At 40.8% G+C, this 25,755-nt stretch overlaps 1 long non-coding RNA gene across 1 annotated transcript, besides 1 other annotated feature; it reads left to right on the top strand.

Annotated features, from left to right (window-relative positions):
• Positions 1-2,519: 2,519 nt before the first annotated feature.
• LOC105369786 (uncharacterized) lies at positions 2,520-3,978 on the top strand. The gene is made up of 3 exons (XR_945004.3): positions 2,520-2,592; positions 3,037-3,200; positions 3,859-3,978. It is a non-coding gene; the product is annotated as an uncharacterized LOC105369786 (long non-coding RNA).
• Positions 6,644-7,843: an enhancer, noted in NCBI's record as "BRD4-independent group 4 enhancer chr12:58566454-58567653 (GRCh37/hg19 assembly coordinates)". NCBI's record gives its function as "activates an origin of replication core promoter dependent on BRD2, P300/CBP, MED14 and CDK7 cofactors, and independent of BRD4, by STARR-seq in HCT116 cells {active_cell/tissue: HCT116}" and the evidence as "EXISTENCE:reporter gene assay evidence [ECO:0000049][PMID:35650434]".

The raw sequence follows: 25,755 nt of genomic DNA, 5'->3' as shown, positions 1-25,755 counted from the left end.
ACTCTCAGTCCAGACTGCTAGCCAAGAAAGCATGCACACCAGTCCCCACTCAATGGTGTAGCATTGGGCGAGTCACTCGTTTTCTTCCGCTCTAAAATTAGAGAACTAGAAAATTGCTTAACACACCTTTCAACGGCATAATCAGTGATCCTGTGCAGCCATGTTCAAAGATGCACTGAATTCAGAGAGCAGCCCTAGTGCAGAGCAATGGCACTCAGTGGTGTCAGGGCCTCCCAGGCCTCAAGGACCCTGAAATTCCTCTCACCGGAAGTTGGCACCCTGTGGATTCTGCATCTTTGTGATCTTTACTTTCAAAAACAATCTGCCATTATCTGCCCACCTCAGACAGCCTGCTTCGTTTTCACCTGGGCTAATATCAGGCACAGGTGTATGATGGGAAAACCTATCTGCTCTCTCTCCCATTTTACCCACCTTTAATGGCACCTTTTCTGCCCTAGGCCACAGTGCTGACATATATGTGTAGGTCAGAAGACAGATAAAGGATTTTTCCCAAAGGCCCACCTCCTGAAGTACTACCTGTCTTCAGGGATCAACTCAGCATCACTTCCTCTAGGAGACCTTGCCTAACCCACACAGGTTTTTTTGTGCACCGTCTGCTGCTTCTCTGGCACCATGTCCATGACTGTGATAACTCACCACCTTATGTGTTACCTGTGTGAAGCTCAAAACAGTATGTTGAATGGGAAAAAATAGTCAGTAAAAAAGTAAATATTGTATTCTTTCATTTAAGTGAAGTTGAAGACAACGCAAAAAAAAAAAAAAAAAAAAAAAAAAAAAACACCGTATCTATAGTGGTTGTCTTTAGTGAGAGAATTTGACTAAAAAGACCACACAGAAAATTTTGAGGATGATAAAAATGTTTTGTATCTCAATTTCAATAATGATATATGGGTGCATATATTTGTCAGAAGTCATTGAACTTAAGGTCTGTGCATGTAAATTATTTCTCAATAAAGCAAAAGATTTTGAAGATTACTGTTTTATAAGAACTATGCACTTCAAGAAGTAATGCTATGAGCATTTTTCCTTGGGAGATGGAAAACTTCAGGTATGTTCTATTTGAGAAACCACCTCATAGGAGAGAATATATGGCATTATACCTAGCATAATGACAGTGCAAAATATAAGCCCTTTTAAAAATGACAAACCATCAGTCATTTGAGGAATCAAAGAGGAAAAAGTGTTGTTCCAAGCCCTCATTAAAATTTCACTTTTGCTTACCTGTCATAATAGGTCTTAAATCAATTCTCTGATTACGAATTGCCTGTTGTAATATTGTCTATTAATTTTAGCCTCTGTTTCAGAAGAGTAGAGAAAAATATTTTAACTCAAAGAAGGAATCAGGGAAATGTGATTGCAAGCCAAGGTGAACAAAGGCATTTTATGAAGCCAGAGTGATTGGTAAGTGTTCTGAGATCTAAGAATTAAGAGCTATGCCACTTGTGCCTGGTTGCTCAATAAGAAAATGCTTTCATTTTTGACAATTTGCAAAAAGACTTCGACTGGCAACAGCAGTCCATAAATGTATTCAAAATATATATCTTACATAGGCTTGTAGGACTCAAGCCAATGTTTCTCAGCTCTTTATTACTGGACACCCCTCTCAGTGAATATTGCAGATTCCGAAGCTCCTTCATTTGTGCGTGCGCACACACACACACACACACACACATTTATCTTTCACCCACTGAGTGGGTTTTGGAGTCATGTTTCATCTTCCATTTATTAGTCCCATGACTTTGAGCAAGTTACTTAACCTCTCTGCTTTCCAGTTTCCTCATCTGTAAAATAGAATAATAACAGAATATACCTCAGAATTCCTTAAAGGTTAAATATGATTATGTATTTAGAATAGAATCTAGCTAAAAGTAAATCTTAGTGAATGCTAGAAGGAAAGCAGCAATTCAGTGGAGATTTAGAAATGAAAGAGACTTTAGATATTATCAATTTATAAATGAGAACACTAATGTTTAGAAAGGCAAATTGACTCCCTAAAATTACACAGATATTTGATGGCAGAGCTGGTACTAGAACATAAATTTTCTGACTCCCAAAACAATACTCTTTCCAATACTCCTAGTCTTTTCTCCTCTGCCCCCCAGCTTTTGCTATGCCAGGCACCCATGAATAAGAAGATATGGTGATGAACAGAATTAAGAGACCCATATTCTACTCCCAGACTGATGCCTCCTTCAACTTCTTATTTCTCTTTTATGAAATGAAGGGATTGGAACCATATGATTGCAAAGATTCTGATCAGTAATAGCAGCATTCTATGATCCTACTGACAAATCTAAGTTCTGCACCATTTTTATGGGTGAAGAGTGAGACAGGAATCACTTTCACCACCTTCTACAGTCCTCTGCTCTGTCTAATCACTTTGTGAAGTTGTCCAGTCTTGCGCTCACCTCCTTGCTATCTCCTGCCCCGATGTTTTCACCTTCTGCCTGGAGCAATGTGGGGAGAATGTAATGAACACAGATGAAGTAGGGAAAGGAGATCTAGGGAAGCATCTCTAGCAGGAGATTAGAGAACTAGTGTGTTCCTCATGCCTGATGGTTCACACAACAGGTATCTAAGTTAAAGAGCAACCAGTAGTTCCATAAGGGCATGGATCACATTTTGTGGAAATAAGCCACAGAAGAAATCTAAGAAATTATTTTAATTCTGTTTCTAGAACAAAGTATATCTTTATCATTAGAAGGGTGCTCATTTACAGTAATACATGAGTTCTATAAGAACAACAAAGGGTCAGGCATGGTGGCTCATGCCTGTAGTCCCAGCACTTTGGGAGGCTGAGGCAGATGGATGGCTTGAGCCTAGGCATTTGAGACCAGCCTGGGCAACATGGCAAAACTCTATCTCTACAAAAATACAAAAAATTAGCCAGACATCATGGTGCACACCTGTTGTGCCAGCTGCTTGGAAAGCTGAGGCGGTAAACTCACTTGAGCCTGGGAGGTCAAGTCTTGGGAAAAAAAAATACAGGATGTGGTAAGCATATCTATCCCCCAGGTTAAAGGAAGCATGAAGGTGAGCTAGACCACTGTGATTAGATAAAGAAAGCAGACTCAGTGGCCTCTACACCTGCTTTTGCATAACGTGAGACAGACCCAGATGCACAGAGAGCTCTGAAATGTCATGAAGGAAGCAGATGAAGAAGACAGTACAGGACAGAGGTAAAATGAACAGGATGGGATCACACTTGTTCTTCAGGTAGAACTGGGAACACGAAATGGTTGCCTATTTGGTCCCTCAGTTTCTTTTCCTATAAACCCCTCTTAAGCCCATCATGTCAAAGGGCAGAGCCAGAGAAGCTAATCCACACAGGTAGAAACAACTAGTTGAACAGTTCATCAAACATGAAGTCAAAGTCTGGACACTGAGTAGTCCTACCCTTCACCCAAAAAGGGGACAATGCAGGGATCCACCTCATATGATGAACAGAGGAAAGAAATAAGGATGCTTGACTTAGAGAAGAGATCCATCTGGGGCAGAGAAGAAAGTTTCAAATGTGAAGGGATAAGATGTGGTAAAGAAAAGAGGTTGCTTGTCCTTAACTAGAGTGAATATCATTCTCCTCATCCCTGGGCCAGCACTGGCTTATGCCTGTTGACCCAGGACTAGTTTAGCATTTGTCCCATTTGAGGAATTTTTATTAAAGCTGCATTAAAATAAGTCAGGATAGGTTTGGTAGACTTCCACTTTGTACTTCCAGCTTCTGCCATAATTCTTACTTGGCTTTGTGTAAGGCACACAGGGCAGTGAACAGAGATCTAACTTTAACACATGGTTTAAAACGAAAAGATGATCAACAATCCATCTCTCTTTTCCCAGCCCTTTTCAGAGCAACGTGATTAATAGCTCACTTTCAAGAACAGCATGCAGGGTGCATGCTTGCCCACATGACAAAAGATACTCAGATACAAGCCCACATGACAAAAGATACTCAGATCCAAGCACTCGCGAACTTCCAGTGTCGGGTGGTAGGAGACTACTCATCATTCCTCCCTCTGCTGGCGATTTCATGAATAAGCCAGGTGGACCAGCCTGTGTGAAATGCCTAAATGCATAGAGACGCCAGGCTCCCAGCTAACCATTGAGAGGGAAATGTGGGAAATTACATTACATATCAGAGTACAGTCTGAACAGTTTCACCATAGAATGTATCATAGAAAGTAGTCTGAAAGCTCTTACCAAAGTGATTTTGTCATTTATAATATGGTGTTCAGTAATTTTTTTATTTTGTAATAAACTCTTCAGCTGCAATGATCTTTTTAAAAGTGCCTATTAATAAAAAATTAAGTATTGAATTTCTACGTCTCAAGAACATTTGTTAAGACTTACTTACCATCCACCATGAGGGCCATCGTGATATCACTGACCACATGAAAACCTGAAGACAAACCTAAGAAGCATCCTCATCTACTTCAAAAGTTAATTATTTTAAGACGACTATGCCCAGAGATGAAGATTTAGCACTTTCAGCTGCAGAACATGTGTTTATGTATTATTCTGTGAGGCATGACTTTTTATTTATATCAAATGACTGTTCTTCTAAATAAATTTCACTTACTTTTTATTCCAAATATTTCTGTGCATATACAAAAGGTAAAGTGAAAGCTGTGTGGAGTGACTCCATAAGCAGAAAAAAACTTCAAAAGTTGAAACTGTCAGTTTTATGTCATTGTCATTACTGAAGTTTCAAATACAATATCAGTTAATTCCAAAAATAGCTCCAGTATTTCCAGTATTTCTGTCTATCTCATGAAAAAATTCAACAGTGAAACTAAAAACTTTTGTAGTAGACATAGGATTTTTGGAGTACAGTGCTATGGTAAAAGCAATATTCTTACTAAGTTAAATCAGACCAGACATGGTAGCTCAAGCTTATAATTTCAGCACTTTGGGAGGCCAAGGCAGAAGGATTGCTTGAGGCCAAGAGTTCAAGACCAGCCAGGGTAACAGAGTGAGATGTCTCTACCAAAAGAAAAAATTGTTTTAAAAACCAACTGAAAAGGAAATAGTAGTGATGATTCTATGGCATAATAATTGTATGACACTTTAACAATTGCCTTATATCTGCGTCCCAGAAAAATGGGTCAATAGGTCAACAGTAGTGAGAAGTGTGAAAATAAGTATGTGAAAATGCTGTGAAAACAGTCAAGGGCAACACAGATGCAAGCTATCATTATTAATAAATTGAAGCATATATTTACATTTTTAGTATATCCTATATTTGATCATTGGCTATGCAAATCACTGTTTTATATACTCTAAGATTTTGGTCTTCTGTGTTCAGGTTTTCAGATTTCTGTTTCTTAGGCTGGGCACACTTTAATTTGTGTTAACTTGCATTTAGTCCTTCCACAGAAGCATGTTTTACCCCCCAAAACAGCTCATATGAATGTTAAGGTAAGGGTCCCATCTCGCATTTTCCTGTTCAGCCCTCACAGTGTTTAGATCAATGTTTAGCAACTCAGAGGTCTCAGGAGACAAGACTGGCATCATAAAAATACTTTCTTCCACATTTGGTAACAATAAAGTCTCAAATCTTTAGCACATTTTTTTCTCATAAAGAGTAAGCTCCATTCTGTGAGCCTTCCCTGCTACCTCCTATTATTCCCCCATGAAGTGAAATGTTACTATGACCAGGATTCAACAAACAAAACTAACATGGCTCAAATCCTTAAAACCCTAAGAATACTTCTCAATATAATAGAATTCAGATCCACTGGTGTGCCCAGCAGCTTTTGATCCCAAGGAAGATAAAATGTGTGCCTTACTATCTAATTCTTTTTCACTCCCTTCAATTGCAGTGGGATCCTTTTATCATTATTTTAATGTTTCTTTGCCTAAATGGCTGAAAGCCTTCATTCCGTGCTCTTGAGAGCTGATCCGAATCACACCCACAGAGCATATTGTGTGAACTTGCAATTATTTCCTGTGAATGCTCTGTAAATGTGTTGAAATCAAGCATGAACATTTCCAGCCAAACTGCAAAAATTTTTTTCAGGACCTTTGCAACATCCCAAGCTCTGAAAACAAAGAGGGTTAATGGTAGTTTGTAACACAAAAATTGCAGATGCTCAATTTACAGAGGCAAAGGTTTCTGTTTCCACATTCATAGTTTTAATGTTTAAATAGTAAACCATAAATAGTATTTGAGCAATCACCAGTCCTATTCCATTTCTGGACAACTGTTACAAAAGAAAACTTCCATAACAATTGTAAGGACAAAGGGGCTCACCACTGTCTCCTGATACACATAATGGGAAAAATATTTGTGAAACCATTACTGATGTATGGTGAGGGTTCCCTGGCAGTCATTTCATCATTACGCTGTGGTGGGAGGGAAAGTACATGCCACCGCAAGAAGAAGGAGAGTATAGGGTCAAGAAAGTTCCGACCAGACAGGAAGAGAAAATGGAAGCCCTTCGTGTTTCAAACCCCAGTGGAATATGGGGAGGAGAGAGAAGCAATAACAGATAAAATACTCATGATTTCACTTATCGCCTCTGAAGCGAAACCCTGGGAGGAAAAGACACGGTAGAAGCATCCAGGTAGATATGGGCGAGCACATGAGTTAGTGGGATTTGTACTGGCAAGCTCCCCTCGGCATAGTTTGGGGAGCCTGCAAGGCACAAGAGTAAACATACCCAGGGCCTCATCCCAAATAGCATGGGAACAAAAGTTCAGACTGGTAGAGAGAGGAGGCTAAACAGAAGGGCCCTGGCAGCGCTCCTGGCTTCCCAAGGCCCAGGAAGGTTCACAAGAGATCTGGGACCTCCTGTCCGCCCTGGATCAGGTGTTCCAGGACAGGAGGGCCTGTGGAGGATTGCAATCAGGATAAAACGGTTACAGCATCCAAGAACTGCATGGCCAGAGGCAAAAGCATGAACTCGGTGCTAGGTACCTGATCTCCAAGTAGCCAGATAGGCCCATCTCCAACAGCAGCTCAGGGAACAGACTAGTTCAGCTATCACGCAGTAAAGACCAGTGAGGATGCAAAGGGCCCCGCATGCATCGGAAACTCCCGTGTCTACCCTGCTAACGTGAGGTCACACATGCCCCACACCCTGATCTATCCAGGGGCCATCCTAGAGGGGGAGGGGCATGAGGTGGAAATATAAACGACTAAACACTTACCCAAAAGAAACTAAGTCATCCGAGAGCGACTATTTAAATCCCAAGGTTCTGGAATAGCGTTAATTGGCAAGTTTAAAGTTGGTTTCCGCGTCTTTCCCTAACTACTACCATCCAGGAGAGTGCGGTCGGTAAGGAAGATCGCGTAAGTTTTAAGAAACAAACTCTATTTCCTTTGCACATCTGTGTGAGACATGTGAGTGTGTCCTACCACTACCCACAGTCCTGAGTGTTCCTTTGCCACGCCCTGATTCTAAGATGATTGATTTTATTTCAAATGCTTTTTTTCGATCCCAGGTTAAGGTTTCTTTTCTTTTGCTGGGTCTCATCTCATCGAGATGCACCTGAGAAAAAAAATTGAGAGCTGGAAAAAGATGGCCAAACAATGTCCACACTGCCCTAGGAGAACCAGTGGGGTGGTGTTTCCACACCGTGGGGTCCCGGGGCTGTGCTGACTTGAGAACTGGCAGAGGGAGGAAGTGCGTGCGCGGTTCCACCTGATGACGTCAAGCGTCCTGAGACCTCCTCAGAAGCATTCATGACCAGACTAGGAGACAGCAGGGCGTCTAAATGTTAGGGAAGTACCCCATATATCCCCATTCTCTGGGTCCTAAGTGAAACACATACTCCCTTCCAAATCTGTGAAGCCTAGTGATAGGTGGTTAAGGCAAACCACTCCTACACACAAACACGCACACACACAGCGATCACGTGTTAAACAGCTCCTGTTCCCACCGCCGCCATCGCACGCTATCACCAAAGCAACGAGGCAAATCCATCCCCTCCACCGGTCCTAGGGCAGAAACTCCTACTTGAGACCCCCACATTGTCCCTTTGTGAGTTATTTGCCTTCGTTTAAGCTTGCCCTTAATGTTCTATTAACTCTTCAAACCGTTTTTGGAAAGAGAAAGTGAATGAATACATTTATTTTATTTTTATGAGAATAAAACCACTCCAATTGCTCTGGGAAAGGAGGAAGAGGGCATAACTCTGCCTTTTCCAGGCGGGCTAGGGCCCTGCTGGAGAGGACCCTATGACTTGCCTTCTCTGTTCTTTAGCCTGCTTGAGGCAAAGTTGACTCCCACTCACAATTTGATTTGCTTTCATCTGTCCAAGGCCTGCTGTTGTTTCAGATTTAATCGTTCAGCCTGAGACTCCATTCCGTATAGTGATCTCAAAGACCTCTGCCTCCTTCTTCTAATTAGTCTTACTCCAATTGCAGAAGCCAACTTATATTTTCCTTCTGCATTCTTTTCTGGGCAGCATGCCCAAGGTTAAAGAACACACACAGTTGTACTCTGGCTTGATCTTTAAAAGTGCTTGTTCTTTCTTCCCTTCTGCCTTGTAAAATGTCTCCTTTCTCTCACAGCTCAGACAATAGTCAGCACCTGGGAGGTCTCTTATTAAAAATCAAAAAGAAAAGCATTCTTCTCCCAAATAATTTTCTTCCTCCTTGAGACCTGGTGCCCGTTGGATGATAAGTCCAGGACACATTGATTATATTTCCCAGAGTTCTTTCCTCTATTTCTACTTCTAGAAATTTAAAAAAAAAACAGCTATGCTCTATCAATATTTAATGATAGCAATTATCTTGAACTGGCAAAAGTGCCTTCCATTATATAAGGTAGAAGGACAGCATTTGTATAGTCCTTGTATAAAGATTCTTGTTCCATTACATCTACTAGGGGGAACAATGTAATAAATAATTAACTAACTAAAATTGTTGCAATGAATAATAACATGGTCAGGAAGGACTTCCATCAATATACAAAGTCAATCCTGTGAGGATGCCACCACCAGTAATCATACACACCCTCCACTCCTCTTCACTCCTGATGCAGGCCCAAAGGACCCGTTTCCATCCTGATTGCATCTTGAACTTGCAGCAATGTTAAAAAATGAGGCCTGAGCAAGGAAAAATGTTTTCTACAGGGAAATTTTGGCTACAGGCAGAGCCCTGCCCTCGGCCTAGTATTGCACCGTTGGTTACAGGTGCTGTGAGCTCAGGCCTCTCACCTGACTTCTACAGGGCTCTTCCCAAGGACTGACCACGGGGCTTCCACCAACACAGAATAAGCTAAGTTTTCATATGAAAAATAGATTGAACACTTATGTCTTGCTAAATACTTCTAGAACTCTAACCTATCACGTAAATTCATAAAAATTATTGATTAAAAACGTGAGAAGCTGCCATCTTAGCACCACAGCTGACTAGTTGTGCCATCTGGGCCACAGGGGTACTGCAGCCACTGCCTGGCCTCTCAACACTTTGTCCCACGTGTCTGATGTCTGCTACCATCATTGCAGCTTCCTCCCTGAAAAGCACAGCTCTCCCTGAAAGGGGAGTAAAGAAGACTGTATTAGTCTGTTCTCACACTGCTAATAAAGACATACCAGAGACTGGGTAATTTCTGAAGGAAAGAGGTTTAATGGACTCTCAGTTCCACATGGCTGAGGAGGCCTCACAAACATAGTGGAAGGCAAATAAGAAGCAATGTCATATCTTATATGGCAGCAGGCAAGAGAGCGTTTGCAGGGGAACCCCCCTTTACAAACCATCAGATCTCACTATCACAAGAACAGCACAGGGAAAACCCGCCCCCATGATTCAATTACCTCCCACCAGGTCCCTCCCATGATGTGGGAATTATGGGAGCTACAATTCAAGATGAGATTTGGGTGGGAATACAGCCAAACTATATCAAAGACTAAGGCTCTGCTACACCAGGCTGTCATATCTCACCTGTTATCACCTCTTCCTGAACATGAAGGAAAAGTAGATGAATAATAACAAGAAAGGAGATCCCTGAGGATTTCTTCCAGCTTCATCCTAAAACTGAAGTCCAGCACCTTACGTGCTTTGTACTGGGTTTATCATGTATTTTCTAATCGAAGAAATTTCTGTGGTTATTTTGATGACTTTCTCTACCGCAGTAACATTTTGTTGCTCATCGATGTAGCTGAAAAAATAGGGATCCTATCTAGAATTCACTGATAAAATCAGTCAGCAACAATTCACCTAGCTAGCAGAGTGACACAAGCTTCAATCAAACACATCCAGGATTTAGTCATTTTGGAAAAGACAGCAGGCCTTGCTTCAGATGCTCACTGTTTGATGTCCATAAGAAAAATATTTCTCCTGTTCTTGAAGGATTCTTGCCAAAAATGGCTGCATAATAAAGAATACAAGAAAGCACAGAATTGCCTGAGCTACCAGAACTCGGTGCAGAATATGACGTACCAAAAGGAACAGAATCACATGGCCAATGGGTAGAGCAAAAATGCATTGTCTCAGCTTGGCAGGAAAGAAGACAAATGACAAGAGCAATTCAGATTTAAAGCTGCAAACAAAGAAGGTTCTGTAAATGCATCTCAGCCTACCCAAGACAGCAGGAAGTAGTTTGTGGACTAATTAGAAACTAGACTGTATGACAATAAAATCTTTCTCTGTATAATGTTGTATAATGTTGGGACTGAAACTAAACTTTAACTTTCCTAAAAATGAAAATGTAGACCTTGACAATACTTACTCAAGTGTCTCTCCTACCCCTCCTCACTCTATATTTTTTGTTTTTTCCATGATTACTTATGAATAAATTGATTTTAACTAAATTTCTTGTTATTAAAGATTTTCAAGTTATAATTTAAATTTGTAACCCAATCTGCCATCTTGAAAATAAGGAATAACTGAATTGAGGTTTACAAAATTCAAAGAAAGAAGGAAAGGAAAGAGAATGGAAGCAATTCACTTGCACAAAAGTAGGGGAATTAGGTCATCTAAATAATGGAATGTTGTAGGGCCATTATAAATCATTTTCACAAGAAAGACCCCAAAGATGTCAGGGGAAATGTTCATGATATATTAAGTGAAACAAAAACATTATAATACAAATTTTCTAAAAAGAAAACAACTTAGCCTGGGTTAAAATATCCCCAATGTTAACTTTTTTTCTTGAACATATGTTACGGAAATGTTTAACATCTTTATATTTGTCTGTATTTTCTACAATGCATACATGTAACTTTTATATTCAAAACAAAAGATGGTATTTTTAAAAGAGTACAATCATAGAGAGTTGGTCAAGGATTGAAGCATATAAACAGATCAAAGAGACAAACATTGAAAGTGACCTTCCAGGTGCCATCTGGGGTGAAATGGCCTCAGCTTAAGAGCTTGCCTGTCTGGTACTAGGGAACACCACAGCAGACTATCACGACCTGAGGTTATTAAGGATTCAGATTATAACAAACTCTCCATTTTTTGGTTCATTCTTTACTTCATTGCTAGAAAGTTCATTGTAGGTTCAGTTGTATCTGACTTGATTAAAATGGGTAAATTTATAACCTATAATTAATTATCTTCTACCCCAGCCATGTTTTATGATTTCTGCAATGATTAAAATAGGCTTTACAAGCATAGAAGTTTAGTCTTGTAACAAGACAATTTGATAGCAGGACAGTCCTTATCTCTTTATATTACATGGAAGAAAAACCCAGTGAAGAAAATTGACCCTATGGTAGAGGACAGTAATTATAATCAAATTTCAATCTTCCTCAAAAATCTTCATCTCACTTAATTATTGCACTACCCAAAACTCTTTGGTTTACCAAGTCACAAATCAAATTTAATAGCACACAGAAACTAAGTAATATAGGTCCAATAGATGGTTTGCTAGTTTCCCTTTAATTTAAGATGATGTCCTTCTTAGAAGAGATTCATGTTTTTAATTGTATGTTTTATTTCTCCAAGAGGGAGCTTATATTGTCTCTACAAACAGCTTACCTGTTGGCAATAACAGTGTTCAAGTGTGCTATACAGTAGCCTTCCAGTTGTAGTTTTCAAGGTGCTAGAGACAACTGTTAAGTATGTTTTACACGAGGAAGGAGAGTGTTGGCTAATGCAGTAGGTCAATTAGGTAGGGAGGTTTAAGAATGCTTCCACTGTACTTATCCTGTAGCACTTACATACTGTAATTACCCATTAGGGTATGTGGCTAAGAGAGTGCACTCTGACATCTGAGTTCAAAACCTGGCTTTGCTACTTCCAAGTCACATAACTTTAGACAAGTTATATAACAGCTCTGTGTCTCAGTTTCTTCATCTGGAAAATAATCATAATAACAGAATCTACCTCGAAGTTATTAGGAGAATTAAGTGAGATAGTTCATTTGTATCAGTTGGAGGGGTTCCTAGTGTGTAGGAATTCTTCAATAAATATTTATTATTGTTATAATTACTGTTGGTGGTGGTGATGTTTCCTCCATAATGGCAGGGACTTGATCTCATTCAACACTGTGTGGCTACTTAGGTGGAAAACCAGAAATGGACTAAACTCTTACCTACCATTTTGAATGTAATGCTCTTCAAAATTCCTCATTTCTTTTGCCACAATTAGTGGGGGGCAATTAGTAATTCAGGCCCCTAAGTCTGGCTTGTTTAAATGCAGTTCCAGCACAGCTGTGTGGCAAGGGCTTCACTACAGTTAGCCACCTGCATAGAGGTCAGCTTTCATATTTAAAATCCACCTGCCCCCAAAAGCAAGTTTCAATATGCAACAGCAGCAGCTTCACACACTGAGGAATGAGCTGTATGCACTTCCTTCAAATCACTAATAAATAGCCCCTGCATTGTTTGGGGTTCATGAACAACAGGTTACACTTTACAACACATGACAGTGAGCTTCACTGGAGTGAGGCTTGAATGTGGACCGTAGAACTACATAGTGGTCATTCAGACAGTAAAACCACTGATTTCCAAGGAAGTGGGATTCTTTACACAGATTTCCAGACCTCTTCGAAGGGCAGAAAACTCCTGGTAATGTAGTCAGAATCCTTATTTAAATGAAGTCATCTTCTGAAACCTTGTAAGATTGTCCATTTTGAATTCAAAATCCTTCACTTACAGGTTTTCTCCCCAAAGTTTACTTTAAATATTTAAAAAATCCATCCCATTTTCCTCTTGAATGCCATGATAAAATTGAGAGTTTTCTCTAAACTTCCTAATAGAGTTGAAAGCTTTTGTCAACTAGTGGCCAGGACTATGACATGCTGAGTATTGAATCGTGGGATTATTTGAACTATTTGTCCTCAGCATCTTTGTCACAGATAGGTATAAGTGGGGCAGGAGGGCTCTCCCACCCACTAGGAATGACTGATGGTTCTGCAATTATCACATTGCCTCTCTAAAAGTGATAAATTGGCAGCCAGCATCAGGAAGAGGCCATTTCCTGATGGTCTACACCTGTTGCACTAAAATGTTAATTGAATGCAGATGCCAGTGAGAAGCAACTTCCTGGGCATGTGCATTAAGAGACAAAATGGCAGACTAGACCTTCCAGGGGCAGTTCACCGGAAAAGGGAAGAACGCCTCAGATGGGCAAGTGTACAACTTCCTAAACACATTGTACATGTTCACTTGCCAAGGGTAAGGAGGGCACTGTGCATGCAAGCAGCCCATGCTAAGGGAAGAATCACGGGAAAAAGGCCAGCCTGTAAAGTGCTGAATCATGGTTAAACATCATGCTTTTATTCAAGGTGACCACTTGGCCTTTTTAAATAAACTTTCACTCCTGCTCTGAAACTTGCTTCAGTCTCTTTTTCTGCTTTATGTCCCTCAGTTGAATTCTTTCTTCTGAGGAGACAAGAATTGAGGTTGCTATAGACCCGTATGGATTTGCCACTGATAACTAAGCATGCCTTCCACCGGTAACATCTCTGCCCAGAAATTGTCCCCGACACCCTACTCCTCTCCAAAGCACCGACATTTCCCCATTGTCTGACATTTGCAGCCTGCGAGGCTTAGCATTCCTCTCAATATTTATCTGTGTTTTCCCAGTGCCTAATAGAAACCTCATTCATTAAACAAAAGCTTTATGAGCACCTCCAACTGAACAGGTACTGGAACAGGTGCTGGTGATAAGGCACTGAACAAGACAGACTCGGTTCCCATTCTCATGAAACTTTCATTCAATAGGGAGAAATAGATGAATAAACATACAAACTCAATTTCACCTGGTAAAAGATCAATAAAAAAATTGTATTAGTTCATTCTCACACTGCTATAAAGCAATACCCAAAACTGGGTAATTTATAAAGGAAAGAGGTATAATTGACTCACAGTTCCACATGGCTGCTGAGGCCTCAGGAAACTTACAATCATGGAGGAAAGGGAAGCAAGGACCTTCTTCACATGGTGGCAGGAGATAGAATTGAAAGCAGGGGAAATGCCAGATGCCTATAAAACCATCAGCTCTCATGAGAACGAACTCACTATCATGAGAACAGCATGGGGGAAGCCACCCCCATGATTCAGTTACCTACCTCCCTCCACATGTGGGGATTACAATTTAAGATAAGATTTGGGTGGGGACCCAGAGCCAAACCATATCATTTCATCCCTGCCCCCTCCCAAATCTCATGCCTTTTCAACAGTCCCCCAAAGTCTTAACTCTTTCCAGCATTAACCCAAAAGTCCAAGTCCAAAGTCTCATCTGAGACAGAGCAAGCCCCTTCCACCTAGAAGCCCGTAAAATCAAAAGTAAGTTAGTTACTTCCAAGATACAAATGGGGGTACAGGCATTGGATAAATGCTCCCATTCCACATGGGAGAAACTGGCCAAAACAAAGGCGCTAAAGGCCTCATGCAAGTCTGAAATCCAACAGGGCAGTCATTAAATCTTAAAGCTCCAAAATAATCTCCTTTGACTCCATGTCTCACATCCAGGGTGCACTGATGGAAAAGGTGGGCTCCCACGGCCTTTGGTAAAAATAAAGGAAAGTAATGGAATGGAATGGAATGGGGCTGAATACTTAAAGTGGGTGAACAGGGAAGGTCCCACTGACGAAGTGAGATTTAAGCACAAACCTCACACAAAGCTGCCAAAAAGAGTGCAAGGGAGGAGCACATCAGGAAGAGGGCTTCAAGTTAAAAAGGCCTGAGGCAGAAGCAAGTCCGGATTGTGAGAGGAACCAGGAGGAAGCCAGCCTAGCTGGAATCTAGGAAGAAGAGTGCCAGATGACATTAGGGAGGTTGGCTGAGGCCAAATCATGCAAGATCTTGTGAGAAGGAAGTTTGGATCTTTTAAATGTGAATAGGAAAATACTAAAGGATGCAGTATTACAGCCTGAAGAAGCTACCATTAGATCTATAAGATTTTATAAGATTTTAGAAGGATGATCTCTCCTTCAGTAGGAGGGCATTGAAGAGTCATGGTCTCTATTATTTTACTTCAAGCCAACCCCAGCACTGGGGTTTTCTATCAGACACAGCTCCCCAGGATCATGAATCAGAGGCACATGGATTAGTTTTTCTGTACTCATTTTTCACCGAAAATGTTTCTGCTTTCTCTTTACCCTTTGAAGATACTACAAATTTTAATTATGGTTAAGGGAGAGCCTAACAAAGGCCCATTTGCCCAACTACCTACTCAGCATCTCTGTGGGTACCTCAGACTCAACCACAACCCACTCCCACCTGCTCCTATCTGAAACCCAGTTCTCCTCTAGTGTTGCCAACCTGCGGAAAAAACACCCTACATCTCTAGTTTCACAAGCCAAGTATTGGGGAATTATCTACACCTTGCACTCTTTCACCCCTGTATCCAATCCTCACCAAGTTCTCCTCAAAGTGTCTCAACTCCATTTTCTTCTCTCAATCTCAACTAACGCTGAGATCCCTGATTCAAACCACCATCATACAGCAAGAATCTCTGAACTGGCCTTCTTCCAATCACTTTTGTTCTCCACAATATGTTGCATGCAACCTGAGTTACATTAAAGATGCTTAAAGCTCTGCAATGGCTTCTCATTATGCTTAGAACAACCCCAAATCTGGTCTACAAGGTTCCAAGTAGCCAGGCCCTTGTCATTCTCTCCAGACTCATTTGTGTAACTGTGTTCCAGCCCTCCTGGCCCCTACCAATTCCTCAAGTGCATCTGCTTTCTTTCATCTCATGACTCTGGCCATGTTCTTCCCTCCACTCCCCATCTTTCTTTCACCTGATTAACACTTTTTTATATATATCTTGCCACAAACATCACTTGCTTAGGAAAACCTTCTTTGGTTTCCCTATTTTACACCTTCATTATATCAGTACCTTTTCTTTATATCATTTACTGTAGTTTATGTAAACAAAATGTGACTCTACTCTCATGAAGCTTTAAAGATGAAGACGGACATGTAGCAAAGGGCAGGAAATGAGAAGCACATGGATAACAGAAGTAGCCAAAGAGAGATTAAGTCCCCAAAGGAGATGGAGGCAAAGTTAGAAATGTGGTCTAAGTCCCCAACTTTTATCTATCCCTTGCTTAATCTCCTAAAGGGTTTTATTTTATATCCAACTCAACATTTCAGCTTTCCAAAATGAAGATCTAATTATTTGATCTATTATCTATTAACCTATATATTGGGCCAAAGTATTAAGAAGTGAAATGGGAAAAATTAAATGCTTTCCTTTTTAAATGTAAGCCAATATTCTCATTCTTTTCCCACCCAATGCTGTTTGAAATGCCTTCAGAAGATCTGGATGCCAGAGCTCACTTTGCCCCTAACTTGCTGTGGGTGTTAGCTCAGGTGGCCATAACAAAATGCCATAGACTGGGTGGCTTAAACAACGGAAATTTATTTTTTCACAGTACTGGAGGCTGGAAGTCTGAGGTCAGCGTGCCAGCATAGTCTGGGGAGGGCTCTCTTCCTGGATTGTTGATGGCCACCTTCTCACCGTGTGCTCACATGGCAGAAAGAGACAAAGAGTGCTCTGGTGTCTCTTCTTCTAACTACACAATTCTATCATATCAGGGCTCTGCTCTTACACCTTCATTTAACTTAAATTACCTCTTGGTAGGCCCTATCTCTAAATACTGCCACATTGTGGGGTAGGGCTTCAACGTGGTTTTTTGGGAGACACAATTCAGTCCATAGCTCTGTGTGACCTTGATCAACCCCCTTCACTAACCTGGATTGCATTCACATCGAGGTTCAACAACTGCAGCCCACCAGCCAAATCCAGCCTGCCTCCTGTTTTTGTACATAAAGTTGTATTGGAACACAGCCGCATCCAGTTATTTACATATTGTCTACGCTGCTTTTGTGCTACAACAGCAGAGTTGAATAGTTGCAGCATGATCTAATGGCCCCCAAAGCCTAAAATATTTACTATCTGGCCCTTTACAGAAAAAGTTTGCTGACCCTAGACTTAAATGATCCCTTAGGACTCTTCTAGCTCTAACATGCTAGGATCCTATTCGTGCCTTCAGCCTGAAACATTTTTTAGTTCAAGTCTTCAAGTTCTGCAAAGGCATTAGTAATCTAATGATTATTTCAATAAGTATTAAATGCTTACATCGACAGAGATGTTTTCATTAATCTCACGTTGTAGCTAACCTCTGCAATGTTATTAAGGGAGCTTAAGTAGACAGAACAAGTCCTTCCATGTAGTAAATGCATTTTAAATCTCTATAGCCAAATGCATTCTCATTAAATCATTATTTTAGGGGCTCTATTGAGTGCCTAATGTAGCAAGAAAAAACAGAGAGCTAGAAGTGCACCAGCCTCATTGGTTTCCCCTCTCTGCACTTGTATAGCCCCTCTAATCTGCACCACACAATTTGACACACAGATATGTGCCATTTCAATTGCTGGCTAGTTATGTCGTTTGCAATAGGCTTGTACCCCAAGGCAGTTATCACCTTGGGATCAGGGATCATGCTTTTTAAATTAAAAAAGCGTAGAATTAAAGATGTGGGAGAGACAATAGTAATCATAATTCAATCTTCCTGTTTCACAAATGAATAAACTGAGATCCAGACCAAACAAATAACTTGTCTTATTTATCTTTAAGTGCCATGGTACATTACAATGACTTGGCTCAGAAGTGTTCACGGGCAGGTGTGGTGGTTCAGTCTGTAATCCCAGCATTTTGGAAGGCCGAAACTCGAGGATCGCTTCAAAGCAGGAGTTCAAGACCAGCCTAAGCAACAGAGCAAGACCCTGTCTCTATCAAAAAGAAAAAAAAATAAAATTTAGCCAGGCATGGTGGCATGTGCCTATAGTCCCAGAGAGTTGGAAGGCTAAGGCAGGAGGATCACTTTAGCCCAAGAGTTCTAGATTGCAGTTGAGCTAGGATCCTGCCACTGCACTCCAGCCTGGGTGACAGAGAAAAACCTTTTCTCTATAAGAAAAAAAAAAAAAAAGAACTTCTGTTTGGTAAGGACTTGAAGAAAGAAATTAGAAAAGAAAACTGGGAAGAAAAGGAAGTTTCCTGTGTCCTGATTTTGTTACAGTAGGTAGCTAGTCAGGTATCTGCAGAAAAGGAGAGGGCTCCCCACACACACATGCCAGGAATGTTGGATGACAATCAGGTGATGGTCAGGCTGTGGTTAACTGTTTCTCTAAAATAATAATTGCTCACAGCCGGCACCAGGGAAAGGCAGGCTCCTACTAGATAGAAAACACCTGAAACTGACCAGCAGCTTTCCAATAAGATCTCAGGAGTAGGTGAGAAGTAAGGCAAGATCCCGGAAGTATGCCAATATATATAAAACCCCAAGTCAAGAGGTCAAACTGTGCACTTGGTTCCTCAAGTCGTCTGCTTGACCCTCTTCCAAGTTGTACTTTCCTTCTTTTCTTTCCTTCCTTTTGTTACTGTTCTAAAGCTTTTCAATAAACTTTCACTCCTGCTCTGAAGCCTGCCTCGGTCTCTCCTGCCTTATACCCCTCAGTTGAATTCTTTCTTCTGAGGGGGCGAAGAGCTGAAGTTGCTGCAGACCTATAAGAATTCGCGGCTGGTAACTTGGAGTAACTCGGAATAACTCGGATCTTTTCCACCGCTAGCGTTTGAGAGGCTTTAAGTGGAGTGTTCTAGAAAACAATCTAAAGTCTACACCACTTTCATGTGTCTCTAACACATGGTTTCTTAACATGCACTCCATGAAGCACTGAACATGGTTCTGTATTAAACAAGTTTGGAAAGGGCTAATACTGTGCACCCATCTTAAACACATATTTTTCATAGAACACCTATTAACATTCTGAGAAGAATGAAACAAGTGTTTCTCAGGACTCACTTTAGAAAAAATTCTTTCTAGTCCCAGGCATATTCTACCTAAGAATATTTCCCAAAACAATTTTTCATGTTTGCCCATGCATTTCTCATGTTTGCCCATGCATTTCTCCCACTGCGTGCCACGAATCTGAGAGGGAAAGAACCTACGGTATTTTTCTCTTCGTAAAACCTCTCCACACTGAGCTCCTATCCTTCCCTTCATGATGAGTAACCTGCCTCCTGGACGCACCAGGTGCAAACTCCAGACCACCCAGGAATCCATCCTTGCTTGGAGCTTTCTCTTTGAGAGTGGCAGGTGGAAGAGAATGGATAGGAAGAGGTCACGAAATCTGCACTGTCATTATTGGTAACGGTTGAAAACTGATGGATTTTTCCCTAGGGAATTCCTCCTCTCCATTTTAATGATATTCATAGAACAGAGAGAATTATGCAAGCAATTTTTTTAGTCATTTTACTCCTTGGCATCTCTTTTAGAGATAATAAGTTGTAGACCTAATTTCTTAATGAATTGTATTTACAATCATCTGTAAGCCTACTTGTCTGATACAAGTATCAAGGAGAAATGGTTTGGAAAGACTAACTCATTTCTTAACCTAAGCTGACCATTTTTAGCTGACTGATACTTCTAATTTCATCTACTTCCCATCTCTCATCATTTAGCAACCCAATGTACAAAGTCTAAATACAATTATTCTTCTGGCTTCTTATTATAGAAATGGGATCTTCACTCCCCCACCTCAGCCAACACACACATAACCAGGCCTGGTGCTCAGCTAGAAATCCTGTGTGACAGGGCTAAGCTCCGCATTAAGCAGCAGCAGGGGTGAGTGCTCTCACTTCTTCCACCCTTTTTCACTTTCATAGGACCTAAAGAAAATGATAACATTTGTCTGATACACTGAAAATAAACAGAGAACATTATTTATGACGTTATTAATAACTACTCTGGCAATTCAGCCACCTCCAGGGTTAAGAGGAAACTCAATACCTTGGCACACCTAGAACCAACTCAGGGCATATTTTTAAATCCCTGGGACAAATTGGAGAGCTTTGGCAAACCAGTTTGGAGGTTCTATGCCAAACCCTGTGTCTCTCAGAGTATGCAACTGACACTCATCTCAGCAGTTCTCAGCCCTGACTATGTTCATTGGCAGTGCTGTAACAAAGTACCACAGACTACGTGGCTTAAACCACAGAAGTTATCTCACAGCTCTGGAGGCTACAAGTCCGAAATGAGGTTGCCAGTATGGTCAGGTTTTGGTGAGAGCTCTCTTCCTGGCTTGCACATGGCTGCCTTCACACTGTTCTCAGCTAGTGGAGAGTGCTGTGATCTCTCTTCCTCTTCTTTTAAGCATCCTTGGCTTTCAAAAAATACTGATGGACAGACCCTGCACCTTTGCATATTAAAGCTGCCTAACTTCTATACCCCATAGAAAACCAAGGCAGAACTCAGAGCAGCCAGCTGTTCTGTGTGAGGCAGCCTCCCGGCTGTGGACCCTGAAATGTGGCTCCAGTTTCTGACTTGAACTCCATTCCCCATATCTTTCTGTGTTAGTCCATTTTCACACTGCTTATAAAGACATACTTGAGACTGGGTAATTTATAAAGAAAAAGAGGTTTAATGGACGCATGTGGCCAATTGCACATGGCATGGGAGGCCTCACAATCATGGCAGAAGGCAAAAGCACATCTTATGTGGCGGCAGGCAAGAGAAAATGAGAGCCAAGTGAAAGAGGAAACCCCTTATAAAACCATCAGATCTTGTGAGACTTATTCACTACCATGAGAATAGTATGGGGAAAACTGCCCCATGATTCAATTATCTTCCACTGGGTCCCTCCCACAACATGTGGGAATTATGGGAGCTACAATTCAAGATGAGATTTGGGTGGGGACACAACCAAACCATATCACTCTCCTCCTGGGAGACTAAACAGGGCCTGTGTGGCTATCCCCTGCATCCACCCACATCTCTGTCCTCGCACAGTCACACCCCTCAACTTATACAAGGACTTCTCAGATGCACTCAGCACTGCCACAGCCCCTGCTTATGTCCCGGGCTCTCTCTGGGGATCCAAGCCTATGCTTTCCACAAGTTCGATCCCTCCTACCCATCTGACCTAGACCTCTCACCTGTCATCATCTAACAAGCAAGCATACATTAAGCCTAAACAGAATCACTCTGTCCTTCTCTTCTTTAGGTCTTACTTTCTAACCCTCTGCTTCTGTGATTCCTTCAAAGTGATTCTTTTCTTGGAAAATGAGAATGCCAAAGCTACTTAAAACCTCAAATCAGGCCCAGGCCAGCATTTACTAAAGCCAAACGTGAACCTTCCCTATGACCTGGCAATTGCATCCCTGAGTATTTACCCAAGAGAAATGAGTACATATGTCCACCAAAAGATACACAAAAGAATGTTCATAACCATGATAGCCAAAAGCTAGAAACAACCCAAAAGCTGATAGACTGGTAAATAGGTAAATAGATCATTGTATGTTCACACAAAGGAACACTAACAGCAATTTTTAAAAGAAAGCACTATTAATACATACAACAGCAGGATTGCATTCAGTGAACAAAGCCAGGCCCAAAAGCAAATGCACTGTATGATTACATTTGTATAAAGTTCAAGAGAAATGGAGTAAAAACTGCCTGGAAAGAGGCAAATTTCCTGTTTGCCTCTTGAGTAGGGTGCTGACCATGTGGGTATCTTCACATCGTCCAAGGAATTAATTCATCTTCATCCAAGGAATTAGTTCACCTTCATGGTGTGTCAAAAGACTTATTCTTTTGTATGTGTTCTTAAAAATCTGTACTCTGAACCATAGGTCCCAAAAGTCATTGATATGTCCTAGAATGTTAGAAATTAGTGGTCAACCTTATTTTACAGATTAAGAATGTGAGACTTAGAGAAGTTTGTTAGCTTGCCCAAGGTTAAATGGTTAATTATGGGCAAAACTGGGTATAGGAATCAGCTCTCCTGAGTCCCACTCTGATGCTTTTTCTTTTATGTCATTCTGTCACAACAAATGTATGATAAAATAATATTTTATCTTCTCAGAAATGGAGGGAAATATTCAAGAAAGACAAAGTGAGAAAAACTGGGAGCTCAGTTAAACCAGTGGATAATTTCCCACTCTCTAGTGACAGGTGAACTCTTTCAACTCAGGACAGTACACTGAATAGATTTTCAATCCCACATATTAAATGGAAGTGAAACATTGATGTTCTTCCAAAAAAGAGAGTAATTTTTTTCTTCTCAAAATGGCCACAATAATATCTTTTCAATTAAAGGTAGAATCCACTCAACTGGCCCCCTGCTAAAGAGCAAATTGATTTAATAAAGACAGGAAAATATCAGAATAATCATAGATGTCAAGTGATAAAAGTAAAAAATTAATGGATTACTATGTTGAGAGAAGAAAAGGTCTACTTAGGAGCTACATGTAACTTAGTCTTCAGGTTTGGTGACAAGGCTAATGAAGAAAGTCCATGTTTTAAAACACTCCTCAGAGACTCCAACTGCTGGCCAAGATTAGATAGCAGAGACCAGATTTACCTTCCCACTTAAAATAACTCCAAAAATTGACAAGAATGTGGAATTAAATTTTTTAAGACATGGGACATAAGGCAACAAAGGACACTGGTCACTGAAAGAAGACATTGAGATGAAACATATGATTGCTCCAACTCACTGCCTGAAAGAGTTTCCAGGCCCCAGCACTGGGATGGGGAATCTGAACAGAGCCTAGCAGACTCCCTTAAATAAGCAGACAGAGCTAGACATGTGGGAAGACTGAGGCAGCTGGAGTTTGAGGGACAGAGCATTGGAAGGGAGAGTGATGCAGAGAGACATAATTCCAGATATCTGCAATTGGTCCCCCCCTAGTACTCAGCTGAGTACTGATCATTGTATGTGTGTGAAGAAACTGCCTGGGTTGCCAGGGAAAGATCACCTGAAAGGATTAAAGGTAACTGTGTCTGGAACTTACACATGGTGGGATTGGTGCCTATTTTTACCAGCCAGACAGAAAAACCTTATGATTCTCAGGGCACTGGGTAACACAGAAGGGACTTTCATCAACAGTGTGGAATAGTTAGCCCTAGACTAAATACTTCTCCATACCTGAAAACAAGCCTTAAAAGCAAGACCAAAAAATACCAAATGTTTTCAAGTAACTTAACTTTGCCAATAAACAAAACTCAAGAATATTAATAAGAATAAAAAGATATCCAGCACCCAACAAGGAAAAAGTCACAATATTTTCTTTCCCGTGAAAAAAAATTACCAGACAGGAAAAGAACTAGGAAAATACAACCAAAAATGAAGAAAAAGAACAATCCATCAAAACCAAGCCAAAATTGACATATATGTTAGAATTAGCTGACAAGGCATTTAAAAGTTATTATAACTGTATTCCATATGTTCAAAACGTTAAGTAGAGAAGTGAAGATCTGAAAAGATTCAAACTGAATGTCTATAGATGTGTATTGCAATGTCTGAGATGAAAAATGCACTGGATGAAATTAATGGCAAATTAGACATCACAGAAGAAAAGGTTTAGTGAGCTTGAAAACAACTAAATAGAAACTATCCAGAATCAAACACAGAGAGAAAAGTGAATTTTAAAATATGAACACAGCATCAGTGAGCTGTGGGAAAGTTTCAAGTGGAATCCCTCAGTGGAGAAGCTAGAGGAAAAAAAATTTGAAGAAATAGTAGACAAAATTTTTTCAAACCTGATAAAAACTACAGACCACTGCGGTGATTAATTTTAGGTGTCAAATTGAGTGGGATAAGGATTGTCCAGACAGCTGGTAGAACACTATTTCTTGGTGTATCTGTGAGGGTGTTTCCAAAAGAGGTTAACATTTGAATCAGTAGAGTAAGTAAAGATCACCCTCACCAATGAGGCTGGGCATCATCCTATCTGTTAAGGACCTGAATAGAACAAAAAGCAAAGAAAGATGAATTTGCTATCTCCTTCACTGGGACATCCATCTTCTCCTGCCCTCAGAGAGCAGTGCTCTTGTTTCTCAGGCCTTCAGACCCAGACTGGGACTTACACCATTGTCTCCCCCAGTTCTTGAGCCTTTGGACTTGGACTGGGACTTACACCACTGGCTCCTTGGGTTCTCAGGCTTTGGGATTTGAATTGGAAGTATACCACGGGCTTTCCTAGGCCTCCAGCTTGCAGGTGGTAAATTGCAGAACTTCTCAGCCCCGATAATCACTTGAGTCAGTCTCTCATAATACTTCTCTTTCGATAAATCTATATAGAACCTTTGGTTCTTTTTCTCTGGAGAACCCTGATTAATATAGAGTGTGGTACTGAGAATAGTTCAAGAAAAACAGAATTTTAAGGATGAGTTTTCTAAGTTAGTTCTAGGATTTCTGTAATTGGCTGTCTAATCTGCTTAGATTTAAAGATGCTAATGATGCTATTTCCAGTAGTAAAGAGAGCACTGATAGTCCATAGTGTGAACTGCTTATAAAAACATGCAAAGTATCTGCAATTGGAAACTCTAATCAACCACTTTTAAGAAGCAAGTAACTAGGTGACCCTGTATATATTTTTAAACATTTTTTTAAAATTAATGAATACAGTGATGTTGGTTGATTGCTCCTAATGTTGCTGGACAAAATGGTGAGTGAAAAGGATGAGCTCAGGGATTTGAATTCCTAGGTCGATCTCTGTATAAATGACCTAAGACCTTCTATATGTGCCGTGAGGGAGTCCCTTATCTCCTATAGACACAGGATTGAAATTGCTGAAAATCAAATGCAGAACCTGATCCTGTGATAGGCTGAATTGCAATGCCAGTTAAACTCCTATCCTTGCAGGGTGACTACTGTTAAAGTGGGGGCATTGGTTTGGAAGGAACTGGATCTATAGTTGTGATGGGGATGTGTGGGAAGAACCTGATGAAGCTGAAGACATTGAGCTCCTAAATGCTGATGAGTCTTTACCAGTGAAATTGGCCTCACCACTCCCAGCAGAAGTGGCCTTCTCAAACTCAGTGGCAGCACACACCCCCACCCAGTGGCAGGGTCTCTCCACTCCAGTGGTATTGGCCTCTCTTCCCCCACTGTATCAGTCTTTCCACCTCAATGTGAGGGGATTAACCCTTCATTGCCTGAGGAAATGGTAATGGCTTCCCCCAGGGCAGTTGCCATGGAAGAATGCAAGACAATGTTGATTCTCCTCAGGACCCACCCCCACCACCCCACCTTTGCTTCTAGACCTATAACTAGACTCAAGCAGGTCCCTAAAGGTGAGGTACCAGTATGACCCATGAGGAGGTTTGCCACACTACAAAAGAACTACTTGAGTTTTCCAATTCATATGAGCAGAAATCTGGGGAACTTGTGTGGGAATGGATATTAGGGGGGTAGGATAATGGTGAAAGTAACATAATAGACTGTCAACCTGAAATAACAAACAGAGAAAGGCTCTCTAAAAGAAAATGATATTTATTCAGGAATAGAACATTGCAATGTGAATACATGAGCCATAATAAACTA

The sequence above is a fragment of the Homo sapiens genome, chromosome 12 (genome assembly GCF_000001405.40).
Source record: "Homo sapiens chromosome 12, GRCh38.p14 Primary Assembly".
NCBI lineage: Eukaryota > Metazoa > Chordata > Mammalia > Primates > Hominidae > Homo > Homo sapiens.
Note: the sequence above shows the minus strand (reverse complement) of the source record. Positions and strands in the feature narration are given on the sequence as shown.